The sequence below is a fragment of the Homo sapiens genome, chromosome 3, assembly GCF_000001405.40.
Source record: "Homo sapiens chromosome 3, GRCh38.p14 Primary Assembly".
Taxonomy (NCBI): domain Eukaryota; kingdom Metazoa; phylum Chordata; class Mammalia; order Primates; family Hominidae; genus Homo; species Homo sapiens.
In genome coordinates, this window is record NC_000003.12 from 69084708 (window position 1) to 69100246 (window position 15539).

Consider the following 15539-nt stretch of genomic DNA (forward strand, 5'->3'; position numbering starts at 1 on the left):
TTTCGAAGGAGGCAGCTTCTCTGCTGCTAGAGAAGGCATTGCCACCTCCCTTCAGACAGGGGATTTCCGCTAGTTGCTTTCTGTCATTTCGTCTCTATTCTGCACTCAGTCCCTTGTTCTGTCTGGAGGTTCCTGTTTTCCTGTACCCAACCAAGAGCCAATGAAGAAGTAAAGAGGAGCAAACACGCCCGCCCACTCCCAATTTCCTTTGCTCTGCTGTCTGCCAACCGCAAAGCCGACCGAGACGGAGCCGCTGTCAACTCTCCAACTCAGCTCAGCTGATCGGTTGCCGCCGCCGCCGCCGCCAGATTCTGGAGGCGAAGAACGCAAAGCTGAGAACATGGACGTTAATATCGCCCCACTCCGCGCCTGGGACGATTTCTTCCCGGGTTCCGATCGCTTTGCCCGGCCGGACTTCAGGGACATTTCCAAATGGAACAACCGCGTAGTGAGCAACCTGCTCTATTACCAGACCAACTACCTGGTGGTGGCTGCCATGATGATTTCCATTGTGGGGTAAGTGGGGTCCCCCTACCCGGGACACCGATCCGGGGCGAGCACGGAGGGGCCTCGGGGTGCAAGATCCCGGGATGTAGAGACGCTCTCTGACCACGCTCAGCGCCTGCCCTGGCAATTCTGCAAGCGGCCAAGCCAGTGGAAACTTGTTTGCAGGGCGAGGCCGCAGTAACCTGGGGCCCCATTTTCTGCACCAAGGGCTGAGACTTGAGGGGGGCCCTAGGGGAAAGAGGACGGGGAAAATTTGCCAGCCGCAGGGAAGAAAAATGAGAGTTCCCCCACCCCCCTGCCCCCGCCCGCGTGCCAGGATCGGGCTCTTGCTGGAAAGATATTTGTAGCGCCCTCGTCTTTTAAAAATAAGAAGAAAAAGGAAAGTGGTGTAACCCTACCCTGGAGCTGGCTGGGGCGGCAGGGTGTGGACCCGGGCTAGTGTAAAAAGGGCAACCAAGTGGCGACGCACTTTGCTGCTTTCTCTGCCTAATGCCTGCCACACTGTACAGTAAAGCTGAGCTTGGGATCAAAAGGGGGGGTGTCTCCTGGTGGCGCATCTCCCATTGTGGGGTAAAGGCTGCCATGACTGTGGGAAGATGGCCTTCTGGCATTTTCTTCCAGCAGTGGCCAGGCGTGGTCACTTTCTCTGTCTTCGCTTCCTAGCCTGAGGTTTCAATGTATCAGAAGGCCTTTTCAATACCTGATACTTAACAAAGTATCCTGTGTTGAGACTGCATGTACACCTGCTTTCCTAGAAACCACCTTTCCTTCTAGTTCACCCTTTAAGAAATGCTTCTCTCGCTTATGCAGGATGGGTGGTGATATTCTCAATCTTGCTGATTATCTCCTACACATCTTTAAAGAAAAAGCCACCCTCAGACTTTATAAAGGACTCACTTGCACTTAAATGTCTGACATTTCTATTTCAGGGCAGACGTAGAGGGAAGAAGCAGCAAGCTGGCTTGGGAGAAAAGGGAGAAATTTGCACTTGAAGGGTGTGGGAAAGGGTGAACAGGGTGGCTTCTTCAGTTGGCTCGCAGTTAATTGGCTTATACATTGAGCCACCTCTCTGTGCCTGGCCCCATGCCAAGCTCCAAGCACACCAAGATGAATCAGACTTGAATTCTGGCCCAGGGGCTCCTGGCAGTTGTTGAGAAGCTAAAGGAGCAAACACACAGCACAGAGGAGAGGGGGAGACTTCACAGTTTCCGAGTATGGTTCACAGCAATCACCCCCATGCAGAGGTGGAAGCCCACATGTGGGACTCTATACACAATCGCACAGATCCTTCTTCTGCATTGCTTAAGGAATTCTTAAGGAATTGCATTCTGGGAATGGCTTGGTGTATAGAGGGCACAGGCTCTGAGTGGACTCGGAACTAGTGTGGCAGCCAAGGTACAAGTTAGTCAGGGCAGGGTGGGGCAGGCCCAAGGCCTGAGGCAGCTGCCTTCTGAACCTTCCCTCAGCTCTGTGCTTCAGGCTGCTTTCCTGGAACACTAAAAAATTTCTTTTTTTTTTTTTTTTTTGAGACTGAGCCTCGTTCTGTCGCCCAGGCTGGAGTGCAGTGGCGTGATCTCGTCTCACTACAACCTTTGCCTCCCGGATTCAAGTAATTCTCGTGCCTCAGCCTCCAGAGTAGCTGGGATTACAGGCACGTACCACCATGCCTAGCTAATTTTTGTATTTTTAGTAGAGACAAGGTTTCACCATGTTGGCCAGGTGATCTGCCCGCCTCAGCCTCCCAAAGTGCTGGGATTACAGGCGTGAGCCTCTGTGCCTGGCCAAAAATTTCTTTTTAAAAATTTTTATTATTTATTTACTTTTGAGACAAGGTCTTGTTCTGTTGCCCAGGCTGGAGTGCAGTATTGTGATCACAGCTCACTACAGCCTCAACCTCCTGGGCTCAAGCAATCCACCTACCTCAGTCTCCCAAGTGACTGGGACCCCAGGTGCGTGCCACAAAGCCTGGCTAATTTTTTTTAGAGATGGGGTCTCACTATGTTGCCCAGGCTGGTCTTGACTTCTGGGCTCAAGCCATCCTTCCACCTTGGCTCCCAAAGCACTGAGATTGCAGGCGGGGGCTACTGTGCCTGGCCAAAAAAGTCTTTAAAACAAAATAAGTAGTAAATAGGTTTGCATCAATTTTTGTTTTTTTCTTTCTCTTTGCAAAGAAGCAGGAGGGCATCTTATCTGGTGATCTAGTTATGGAGGTATTTTCTTGAGGTAACTTAGATGTGGGGCAAAGTTTGACACAGACCAATAATTAAAAAAAAAAAAAAGTCTATTTTCTTCAGACATGTGTGCTGCCCAGACCAGGCACAAGCTCAGACAGCCTTGCTGCTTTTGATAGAATCCATTTTTCACTGTGAAGGCCAGGGGCCAGCCCTTTGACTAAATATAGCTCCGTCAGTATTGTGCCTTAGGCCACTAACTCAGGTAGTTTAGGGGTGTTGGCCCTCCTCATTTTCCTTTCAAATAAGAGTTGTTGGTTGTCAATGAAAATTTTGAAGTGAAAAAGTGAAAAGTAGCCATGAAGTTTTTAAAACTTATCCTTATTTTTAAAAACTTACAAAAGATACAGGCTAGTAGTAAAGGTTGATTTGAAAATTATGTGGATAAAATGTGAAATTTCCTTCATACTTCAGTAAAAGTTTGGTATATAACCCCTAACTGTTTTCTATGCAACTATAAGCACAGTCAGTAGTTTTTTCCACCAGTTGTTCTCTTTTCTTTCTTTATCATTTAATAATATAAATATTTATTGAGTGCTCTGTGTGTCAGGTACCTTGCAAAGTATTTTACCTGCATTATGTCATAGAACCCAATTTTAAAAAACTGTTACTTTTTTTTTATCATTAAACCTGAGGCTCAGAGAGGTTAAATGATTTACTCAAAGTCACAAACTTAGGCTTGTGCTCTTAACTACTGTTCTGTCTTACTATGAGTCACAAGGAAGAAACCAAACATCTTCAGAGTTAGGGAGCGTCCTTGATTCCAGAACACTTCTCATTCTAAAGAGAACTATCCTCTTTCGGTGATGCTAGTAGATGGGTAGGTCAGAGCAGTGCTGGCAGCTGTTCATCTGGATCCTCCACAGACTTCTCTCTAGTTTCTCAGAATATCTTGGTAGAGTATATGTGAAAATGTGACCTGGATAAAAGAGTGTTCAACAATGGTTCCATCCCCTGCTGGTGAGGAGAGCCTCAAGGGCATTGTAGGAGTGCTCTAGCCTCAGCTCTCCAATGTTGGAAACTGGCTTAGATGAGGATAGAGAGGGCCTCCTCTTCAAGATTTCAGGAAGGGTGAGGGAAGAACATAGCAAATACTATCTAGATCCAGAAACACTGGAAAAAACTGCCCATACCAAGACGGAGATTAAGAGGGATTAGGATAGAGATAAATCTGTGTTTAAACTTCTGATCAGAAGAGATTGAATTATTTAAAAGGAATAGCATGAATAACAGGCTAGGAAACTTGCGTTTTGCTGGAAATGCCTTTGGATCCTTTACATCAAGAAGGAAAAGTGTCTAAGATCGAAGTTGCCATAGCTTACCTTCTGCATCCTTGATGTGAGACGTTTTGGGATTAAGATATTCTTTTCACATCACACACAACAATAGAAGTCTCTACCTTGATCTTCAAAGTGAAAAACAAAGGCAACACCTAATGACACTTGCAATTTAAGTACTAAGCGTGTGATACATTCTAGTTGTGGATGAAAACTTCTTTGTGCTTAATGGAATGCCAAATGATTTGAGCTGGAGAACTCTGTTCAGTGTGTGAGCCATGGAACAGCAGCATCTTTCGCCTGAGAGCTTGTCAGAAGTGAAGCATCTCAGGCCCCATTTCAGACCTACTGGGTTAGAATCTACATTTTAACAAAAGTCTCAGATGATTCATAGGTACATTAAAATCTGAGAGGCACTGGATTGGTCTGGCTCAAAAGAAAATTTAAATAAATATACCTATATGCCCAGGTGTCACCTTCCGTGATTCAAAATGTATAGTTCTTGGCAGGGTCCAGGCATCTGTTGTTTTTTTCTTTTTCTCTAACTTCCTAAGTGATTGTGATTATACACCCCTAGGAGAAATACTGATCCTCTTGAACCCCGTAACTTCTGAAATGTAAAAGCTCGAGGTCACAGGCTAATTGGAACTAAAGCTGCTAATAATAGGAAGTGAAATATTTTTTCCATTAAGCCATATTGCAAATTTTCTAAAGCTCTTGATTAACCAAATTCAACTGCATCCCTGACTCTTACAATATTTGCAATGCTATTGCTGTCTTATTCTGAAAAGTTCTTTCCTGGATGGGTATAGTGGCTCACACCTGTAATCCCAACACTTCGGGAGGCAGAGATGGGAGGATTGCTCAAGGCCAGGAGTTTAAGACTAGCCTGGGCAACATAGTGAAACCCTGTCTAAAAAAAAAAAAAAAAAAAATTATTTTCTGCCATTAGAACTCATATTTTCTGGTATGGCCTCAGAATCACCAACCACACACAGAATTTGCAACATATAAAAATGCCTCTGCTGCTTCTCCAGCAAGAGAGCTGCATGTATTCTTATGTATATACATTTGTGCCTCCCCCTTTAGATAGAACCATGTAGCTGCTGAAGGAATGAGCCCATGATTTCTCAGCTGAAGTAACTCCTCACCATGTGGCCTGATCATTTGGCCTATGGAGATGTTGCAGGAGGGTGGAATTGACAGCTGCCACTTTATGCTTTCAGTTACTCAAGATGGTAAGGAGTTTCTAGAAGGCTGGTAATTATAAGTTTGAAAACAGCATTAATGTAATCTTTTCAAAATGAACGTGGCTTGGTGGCTCTGTAATATGTTCTAGGCCTGTGGCTCCCAGCATCTGGTATTATGAAATGTTCGTATTGTTTGTACCTTTAAATGCTGTAAAGATGAAGAACCAAGTTTCCAGTTGGTAGAGGAAAAAAAGCGTAAGGCAACCCTGGGAGGCTCTGGATCAGAATCTATTGAAATGATTGCAGATAGAATGAGTTGCAGTCTGTTTATACTAAAGCAAGTGGAAATGTTTTTGAGATTAGTCAGCTTCAACACCAGTTCTACAACATTACTCTTATTTGTGTTGCTTCATTCATTCAATTAACAAAGAGTATGAAGCACTTACCAACTTCTCAGACACTGCTAGGAGATAGTGAAGAATAGGACAGCTGTGATTCCTGCCTTCACGGAAAGGCAGCAAGACCACACTGAACACATGATAACTAATTTGTATACAAGTATAGCAAGTGTACAGAAATACACACCTACATAAACACATCCTTCTCAACCTGACTTACCTGATCTCCCCTGTACATTATTACTCCAAATTCCAAATCTCTCAGGTGTTGGGAATAGGGGAGGCATTGAGTATGTAGACAGGAAAAAGGTTTTTTTAAATTTTACTATCCTAACCCACAGCTCAGATCCTTCTATTCCATTGAACAAATACTGAGCACCTACCATGTGGTAGACACTGTCTAGGCCCTGAGGATACAGTCAGGAGTACAACTCCACCAGCCTTCCCAAATCCTCCCAGAATTCTCCTGCCCTTCGATGCCCATTTATTTGCATTTGAGGCTGGCACCTGTCTTCCTCTGATGGCTTATGTGTTTCTTCTGAATACAGAACTTTAAGAGGTCTGTCAACACACAGTAACATTTTAATCTCAAAATCTTTATCTAGGCTGGACATGATGGCTCACGCCTGTGATCCCAGCCCTTTGGGAGGCCGAGGCGGGTAGATCACCTAAGCTCAGGAGTTTAAGACCAGCCCGGGCAACATGGCGAAACCCCATCTCTACCAAAAATAGAAAAAATTAGCCTGGCGTGGTGGCATGCATCTGTGGTCCCAGCTACTTGGGAGGCTGAGGTGGGAGGATCTTTTGAGCGTGGGAGGCGGAGGTTGCAATGAGCCAAGAACGCACGCCACTGCACTACAGCCTGGGTAACAGAGTGAGACGCCGTGTAAAAAATAAATAAGTAAATATAAATCTTTAATAAGGATTGCTTTTCATTAAATAACCTCTGACAGTGTATGTGTGTATATGTGTGTGTATATACATACATATATATATATTTTGAGACAGGGTTTCACTCTATTGCCCAGGCTGGAGTATGGTGGCGCAGTCATGGCTCACTACAGCCTCTACCTCCCTGGGCTCAGGTGATCCTCCTGCCTCAGCATCTTAAGTAGCTGGGACTATAGGCATGTGCCACCAGCCTGGCTAATTGTTGTATTTTTTTTTGTAGAGAAGGGTTTTTGCCATGTTGCCCAGGCTGGTTTCGAACTCCTGGGCTCAAGCAATCCTCCTGCCTTGGTCTCCGAAAGTGCTGGGATGACAGGCGAGAGGTATGGCTGGCACACCTTTGATACTATTTATGTAACTTTGTTTATCTGAACTTCTCTCCCCTCTCCGTCCAGCTTTTTTTTTTTTTTTTTTTTCAATGTTGCCTGCTACTTTTGGCCTTTGGTTGGTAGTTTCTGTTTCCTTTCCCTAGGTAAGGATTTACAATGATTCTAGGTAAGTGTGCAAATAAATGAGTGTATTTTGGATTCCTGGCCCCCTGTCTTAGAAAGGAGAAGCTCTCCATCAGCTTAGGGACAGAGAGCTCTGTACAGGAAATCCAGTTCAAAAAGGTCAAGACCCATTCTTGACCTACCCACTTAATATCTAATTAAGCATCAATATTGGAAATTTTGTATTTTTTATTTTTTGGACAAATGAATTCTATCCTTATCACTCAGCTTCAGAAAACTTAACCCTTAATACCATCCTCTGTCTCTTGAAATGAGCGTGGCTTCCTGTTTCTGAGAATGCCTTCACCCTTAATACCATCCTCTGTCTCTTGAAATGAGCGTGGCTTCCTGTTTCTGAGAATGCCTTCAAGCCCTGTAATTTTAGGCAAAACCTTCAGGCTAACAACTTCAGGTTTGCAAGCATTCATCATTGATATATGATAGGATTTCCTGGCCTTCCTTCTCGTTATGCAATTTGCTAAAGGAGACACCTGGAAGGCAGAAAGCCCTGCTTCTTCTAATCTGCTTCATATCTCATTGGTGCAGCTTCTCCTTGTCTCAGAGGAAAAAGAATGCAGAAATTGGGGGTTAGTGAGGGGTAAATAGACAGGAAACTTGTGAGAAGGAAGTCTGTGTTACCAAGCTCGTTAGCATTTGTCCAGCCCCTGTCTTCTCTCCACAGCTCTGTAAGAATTTGCCATGTGACAGTTCTCAGTAGCTTTTGTTTGTTTTGTTTTGTTAAGACAGAGTCTCTCTGCATCGCCCAAGCTGGATGCCATGGCAGGATCTTGGCTCACTACAACCTCTGCCTCCCAGGTTCAAGCGATTCTCCTGCCTTAGCCTCCAAGTAGCTGGGATTACAGGCACGCACAACTATGCCTGGCTAATTTTTGTATTTTTAAGTGATTACAGGCACACACAATTATGCCTGGCTAATTTTTGTATTTTTAAGTAGAGACGGGGTTTCACCATGTTGGCCAGGCTGGTGTCGAACTCCTAGCCTCAAGTTATCCCCCCACCTCAGCCTCCCAAAGTGCTGGGATTACAGGTGTGAGCCACTGTACCCAGCCTTTTTTTTTTTTTTTTAATTTTCTAAAATCATTCAAGAAGAACAGTTTGTAAACAAATATCTTTCCACTTCTGTTCCCCAAAAAGTATTGGTTGTTAAGAGTAACCATGGGTTGCTAATTGTGAAAGCAGTGATGAGCATACATGAAGATTCATTATACATTATTCTCTCTACCTATGTATATGTTAGTTTTCCATAATGAAAAGTTAAAAAGGGTTTTATGAAGTCTAATCAGAGCTTTGTACACAACTATTATTTGAAGCTCCGTCACTGTGGGAAGCGTCAGATTTATGGTTTCTAATCCGAGTCCAACCTGTTGTTTATTAAAAACAAAAGAAAATCTGGAGGTTCCTAAGGCATGTCTTAGTATGAACACTTTTAACATGCCAACTGTTAAAAAGACAATGGTTGGTTTGGATGCGAGTGTTTAATTTGTGCCAAATTACACAGGATACAGTAAATATTTAGGGAATGGCAAGAATACAATAAATCCTCTAGGCCTTCCTAATTCAGTTGGTTAGGAAAATCTCACTATGACCTTTCTGTAACAAAAGAGACAGGCTCCTGTTCAGTTTTACCTACTGTACAGTCTCCTTTATTCCATGATCCTTAGGCCAAGGAGACACTGTTCTCATTTACTCAAGACGAATTTGTGTCCAAAGCCCACATTTATGCCTATAGTCAAAAATAGCTCTCCACTTTGGGAGGCTGAGGCAGGCAGATCACTTGAGGTCAGGAGTTCGAGACCAGCCTGGCCAACATGGTGAAACATCGTCTCTACTAAAAATGTAAAAATTAGCTGGGTGTGGTGGCGCATGCTTTAATCCCAGCTACTGGAGAGGCTGAGGCAGGAGAATTGTTTGAACCAGGGAGTCAGAGGTTGCAGCGAGCCAAGATTGTGTCACTGCACTTCAGCCTGCCGACAGAGGGAGATTCTGTCTCAAAAAAAAAAAAAAAAGAAAAGAAAAGAAAAAAATTAAAAATTAGCCAGGCAAGCTGGCACTCACCTGTAGTCTGTAGTTTCAGCTACTCAGAAGGCTGAGGAAGGTCACTTGAGTGTGGGAGAAAGAGGCTGCAGTGAGCTATGACCATGCCATCATACTCCAGCTTGAGTGACAGAGGAAGAACCTTTCTTGAGGAAAGAAAAGAAAAGGCATATGGAGCTGTGCTCTGGTCAGAGAGACTGAGGAAAGGCTGGCTGAGCTGAGACTTGAAGGAGGGTGGAGTGAGGCCTGTGTGCAAAGTATCCTCTCTGCCTGATTCACCTCACCCTGAGATGGCAAAAGGCAAGGTGAGTTCTGGGGTAGATAGAAACCCTGAGTGGATGGGGGTGCAATCAGGAGATGGTGTGACAAACCTGGCAGGTAGGCCAGCTGCTAGCCCTGAGAGTTCCCTCATGCTAATTACTAAGGCACTTCTTCCTCTCCTAGCAGTTACAGCCAAAGCCAAATTTTGGCCTTGGCTTGTGGAGTGTGTGACCTGGATTCCAGGCCCCACTTACCCCCTCAGCCAGGCACCAACTCCACACCTATATACAGTGGCCCTGGCTGCAGAGGCAGGCAGGGGCCAGACCCTGCGAAGCCTTGTAGAATGTTTAAAGAATTCTGTTTTTAGTTTAAGAACAATGAAAAGAAAATGGTTGGGTGGGTTCATATTTGCAGTGATCCCTCTGGCTGATTAAGGACCACAGAGAAACATCGCCAATTTAGAGAAGTCCACCGTGAGTATATTGTTCCCCACTTTTTCGGTGAGTCAGCCTTCCTCAGAAACCACACTTCAAAAATAGCTTTTTCGGCTAGAAAATTGGAACTCAGTGCAAAGCTGCCTGTACTCCTCAGGAAATATTTTGCTGCCTCTTTGGTGGTTCTTTTTGGCCTTGCAGCCTGACAGGAGTCACCAAATGTGGCCTTGAGTTGATCCGAGGATTTCTGTTATGGCAAACTTTTATTGCCAACTTTGCAATTGGTGGCCTTGGACAAATTTATTAACTTGTATATTCTTTAGCTTGCTTACGTGTAAAATGAGGTGGGTTAGCAAGATCCTTCCTAGCTCTAAAATTTTGTGAGATTTTTTTTTCCCCTTTCAGTAACTTGTGGTAAAACTATAGACATAGCTACTGAATCACGTTGGGAAGTTTAGGACCTGTATCCACACCCACTAATAGCCACCTTGTTTCAGAGAGAAATGAGAGTGCAGAGGGATTTTCCAGGATGATCCTTGGTTATAGTAGGTTACTTAGAGTGTGGGGGAAATCCTTAAAGCCGGTTAACATGACAGAATGGGTTCTACTGTGAGTTGCTGCCACAACTGGCACCCTTGTTTTCTTGTTTCTCTCCTGGATCCCTTTGGATATGTTTCTTCTCTGGGCCTCAGTTTAGTTATCTGTATAATTGGACTAGACTGATTCATCTTTGAAGACTGCTACAAAATTTCTGTGATGGGATTCTAAACCTTTTTATAACCATAAATGACTGCTCTAGAATGTGTAACTATTATAGGGAAAGATTTATTAATTATTTATTGGAATTGGGTAATACATGTTCATATTTTAAATATATATAATTAAAATATATACAAACATATGTATTAATATATTTTTAATTTCACAATAGAAAAACATAACGGTTTTTGAGTTGCAAAACTAGGTCCTGCTGTTTCTCCCTTCTTTCTCACCATCCCTCGTTCTTTTTTTTTTTTTTGAGACGGAGTCTGGCTCTGTCACCCACGCTGGAGTGGCACAATCTCAGCTCACTTCAACCTCCACCTCCCAGGTTCAAGTGATTCTCGTGTCTCAGCCTCCTGAACAGCTGGGATTACAGGCATGCGCCACCACGCCCAGCTAATTTTTATGTTTTTAGTAGAGATGGGGTTTCGCCATGTTGGCCAGGCTGGTCTCAAACTCCTAGCTTCAGCTGATCCACCCACCTCAGCCTCCCAAAGTTCTGGGATTACAGTTATGATCCACCGCACCCAGCCCTCTTTCTTACTCTAGGACTATCAGTAAGTGAAACTCCACCCAGCAGACCACAGAGGCAGCTGTCTACATGAAAGATGGGTGGCATGTTTATGGAAAGTTTTGTCCTAAAAGTCTTTGGGGTTTGTCGTGATTGCTGTGATAAACAGCCCAACTGTTGACTAAAAAGCATCTCAGGCAAGAACTGGTTCCCAGATTTCTGAGAATTTCTGTTAATCTGTAGAGGGTGTGTGTGTGTGTGTCTGTCTGTCTGTCTGTCTGTCTTTTGTTCCAAATACAGGTAAGTGCCAGGGCATTGGAGTGGTATACATTTTATCAGATACAGAAGAAAATAATTTCTGCTCAGAGTAACTTCGTTAGTTTTTTTCCAGCTTGGAAACTTGCTTGCTTTCTAATTATAGACTGTTGTTGGGCAGGTTATGAACTAAAACCAGTTCTATAGAACTTCAGGCTCTGTTCTTTTCTCTTGGACATGAGCAACCAGAACAGGTGAAACAAATTTGGAATTGCTTGAGTTAGGCCTGGATTTTTCATTGTTCCTTGTCCTGGACTTTAGGCACTCAACCTAAATATGTATTTTACTTGTCTAGAGGAAAATAAAAACAGCTTGACATGAATTTTGTTATATGCTTCACTTCATGAATTATTATTTTAATAAGTATTCCAGAATGAACTGAGTAGGAGCCCTTTGATGCTTTGCTGCCAGCCAACCCACTCCTACTTGCAGGGTATGCAAAGGAATTTCCTTGAATTTCAATCCTCCATTTGAGTTCTTTGTGTTGATTTGATCTTTGTTTTGCTTTGCTTTTTTTTTTTTTTTTTTTTTTTTGAGACGGAATCTCGCTCTGTCACCCAGGCTGGAGTGCAGTGGCACAATCTCGGCTCACTGCAGCCTCCGCCTCCCGGGTTCAAGCAATTCTCCTGCCTCAGCCTCCCAAGTAGTTGGGATTACAGGCACATGCCACCAAGCCAGGCTTAGTTTTGTACTTTTAGTAGAGACGGGGTTTCACCATGTTGACCAGGATGGTCTTGATCTCCTGACCTTGTGATCCACCTGCCTCAGCCTCCCAAAGTGCTGGGATTACAGGTGTGAGCCACTGTACCTGGCGATCTTTGTTTTTCTTTACGGCTCAGAAGAAACATTTGGGTAGGTTATAGGTCAAAGTCAAGGCTTTGTAAAGGGTTTTTTACATTCAGGAGCCTTTCCCCAATTTCATTTGTTCATTTTTAAATACCAATTTTTTTTATTCATCAAGGAATACATGGCCATTGAAAAAAATATGAAAATAAAAATAAGCAAATGGAAATAAACTCCCCTTATCCTACTATACTGTAGTCTTTGGTATAATTTTTCAGTTTCTCTAAGTATCTTTTTATTTTTTAATTGAGACAGGATCTCACTCTGTTACCCAGGCTAGAGTATAGTGGCACCATCACAGCTCCCTGCAGCCTTGACCTCTGAGCTCAGATGATCCTCCTACCTCAGCTTTCCAAGTAGTGGGGACTATAGGTGTGTGCTGCCACACCTGGCTAATTTTTGTGGGGTGTTTTTTTTTTTTTTTGGAGAGATGGGGTTTCGCCATGTTGCCTAGGATGGCCTCAAACTCCTGGGCTCAAGCGATGCATCCGCCACCTCGGCTTCCCAGAGTGCTGGGATTACAGACATGAGCTACCACACTGGCTTAGAATCTTTTGTGATGCTGGGAATTAGATAATATTAATCTATAAGAGTTTCAAGGCCTCTTCATTCACTCTCCACTCTCTACAACCTGCTGAAGGGGATTGTGGTTTTGATTCATCAGATTCTTTCCTTCCTCAGGCGTATAAGGGAATTTTTTCTTTCCCAGACCAATTCCGGGGTTGTCTCAGAAGACAGGGCATAATCCAGATAAAATAAAACAGAAAGAAAGTGCAGAGAGGCCAAGTAGACCCAGGTAACACAGAACCAAGAGGGAGGGGAAGAGGGCAGAGAGAATAGCACATGTGCTGGGTATTGGGGAAGGTTGGGGCACTGGGGTGCTATAGACTGGCACAAGAGGATCTGGAGGATGAGCAGAAAACCAGGATTTGGATTGGAGAAGGAACAGCTTCGCTGTGGTTCATGAACTGAAATTCCATTAATGTTGTTGGCGAGATGGGACAAGTAGAGATGGACTTTTGTGGTTGGTCTGTGCCAAGCGGCGGTTGTGGGTTGGAGAGCAGCTGCTTTTATGTTTTTGTATTTCCTTTTTTATATATTCATTTTATTTCTGATTATGAAATAATATACTAATTATAGAAATTTCTATTTCTTTTTTTTTTGGAAACAGAGTCTCACTCTGTCACCCAGGCTGGAGTGCAGTGGCGCAATCTCGGCTCACTGCACCCTCTGCCTCCCGGGTTCAAGTGATTCTCCTGCCTCAGCCTACCAAGTAACTGGGACTACAGGTGCCTGCCACCATACCTGGCTTTTTTTTTTTTTTTTTTTTTGAGACATAGTTTTGCTCTTGTTGCCCAGGCTGGAGTGCAATGGCACCATCTCGGCTCACTACAACCTCCGCCTCCCAGGTTCAAGCAATTCTCCTGCCTCAGCCTCCGAGTAGCTGAGATTACAGGCTCCCGCCACCGAGCCCAACTAATTTTTTGTATTTTTAGTAGAGACAGGGTTTTACCATGTAGGCCAGGCTGGTCTTGAACTCCTGACCTCAGGTGATCTGCCCGCCTCAGCCTCCCAAAGTGCTGGGATTACAGACATGAGCCACCATGCCCAGCCCAGGCCCAGCTAATTTTTGTATTTTTAGTAGAGGTGGGGTTTCACCACGTTGGCCAGGCTGGTCTCAAACTCCTGACTTCAAAAGATCCACCCACCTTGGCCCCCACAAAGTGCTGGGATTACAGGCTTGAGCCACTGTACTCAGCCTAGAAACTTCTACTTCTGAGCTATCTAACTTATATGATAAATCTACCTAACAGACAATGCATTATGTATTACAATTGCTTTTACCCACTCAATATATAATGTCTTCCCATATTATTAAATGCACTTCAATGTTTTAAAAATAGCTGTGTATACAATACCACAGCTATTGGTATTGTTGGCCATATAGGTCGTTTCTGAAAGTTTTTAATCATAAATACCACTAATATCAATACTGTTACAACTCAATCTTTGCGTTTTTGTTTAATTCCTTAGACTATATTCTGAGGAGGGGATTTATTGGCTTGAAGGATACAAGTATTTGCAAGGATTTTGAATGAAATTAGCAACTTATTATTGTAGAGTTTAGTTTTAAATTATGTACAACTGGCTGGGTGCGGTGGCTCATGCCTGTAATAGCACTTTGGGAGGCTGAGGGGCGGGGGGGGTGGGGGGTGGATCACATGAGGTCAGGAGTTCGAGACCAGCCTGGCCAACATGGTGAAACCCCGTCTTTACTAAAAATACAAAAATTAGCTGGGCATGTTGGCGGGTGCCTGTAATCCCAGCTAGTAGGGAGGCTGAGGCAGGAGAATTGCTTGAACCTGGGAGGCAGAGGTTGCAGTGAGCCGAGATCGCGCCATTGTACTCCAGCCTGGGCAATGAGTGAAACTCCATCTCAAAAAAACAAACAAAAAAAAATTATATGCAACTACTCTTACCACTGTTTAGCTTTGTGCATCTTAATAGAAATTTTTAGCTTTTTCAAAGCAGTTTGACATTGATTTTATCCCTTAATTTCACCCATTCAGGTGTGAAAAGCTTTTACTCTTAATTTTAAAATGTTCAAAATTCCTTTTATGTTTCAGTAGGCAGAAACAGAGCTAAAATTTAAAGGGATTTTTGAAAAAGAATTGTATTTATCCTGAATACGAATCCCAATATGAGCATGAGTTCTTCATCTCTTCCATTTCAGAGAAAGTAAGCTCTTGGCATCACCCTCCCTTATCCTGTCTTCCCCCTTCCCTCATTTCAAATCAGCAATGTTACTATTCAGGGCATGAGGAGAACACACTATCGTCTGTGTCCTTCCCAAGTAAAGTCCTCATTAGCCTCTAGGGTAAAAAGTTAAGTAACTCATTGTACCAGCCCACCACAGACGTCTTGTTAAGGGTTTTGTATACACAGTGGATTGGGGTGGGCGACTATAATGCCCAAAACTTTGTCTAAATTTCTTCTTCTTATTATCATTATTGAGACAGAGTTTTGCTCTTGTTGCCCAGGCTGGAGTGCAATGGCGTGATCTCAGCTCACTGCAACCTCCACCTTCTGAGTTCAAGTGATTCTCCTGCCTCAGCCTCCCAAGTAGCTGGGATTACAGGCATGTACCACCACGCCCAGCTAATTTTTGTATTTTTAGTAGAGATGAGGTGCCACCATGTTGGCCAGGCTGGCCTTGAACTCTTGACCTCAGGTGATCCACCCACCTAGGCCTCCCAAAGTGCTAGGATTACAGGTGTGTGCCACCATGCCTGGCATAAATTTCTTCTACATAATG

At 43.8% G+C, this 15539-nt stretch overlaps 1 protein-coding gene across 1 annotated transcript in view, besides 1 other annotated feature; it reads left to right on the forward strand.

The window, feature by feature from the left end:
* Positions 1-310: an enhancer, noted in NCBI's record as "active region_20053". NCBI's record gives its function as "activates an Ori minimal core promoter by ATAC-STARR-seq in GM12878 lymphoblastoid cells {active_cell/tissue: GM12878}" and the evidence as "EXISTENCE:reporter gene assay evidence [ECO:0000049][PMID:35858748]".
* Positions 230-15539, forward strand: part of ARL6IP5 (ARF like GTPase 6 interacting protein 5) — a 21156-nt gene continuing 5846 nt past the window's right edge. The window contains exon 1 of the mRNA NM_006407.4: positions 230-516. Coding sequence (NP_006398.1) covers positions 341-516 — 176 coding nt within the window. The 5' untranslated portion in view covers positions 230-340. The remainder of the gene's footprint in view (positions 517-15539) is intronic.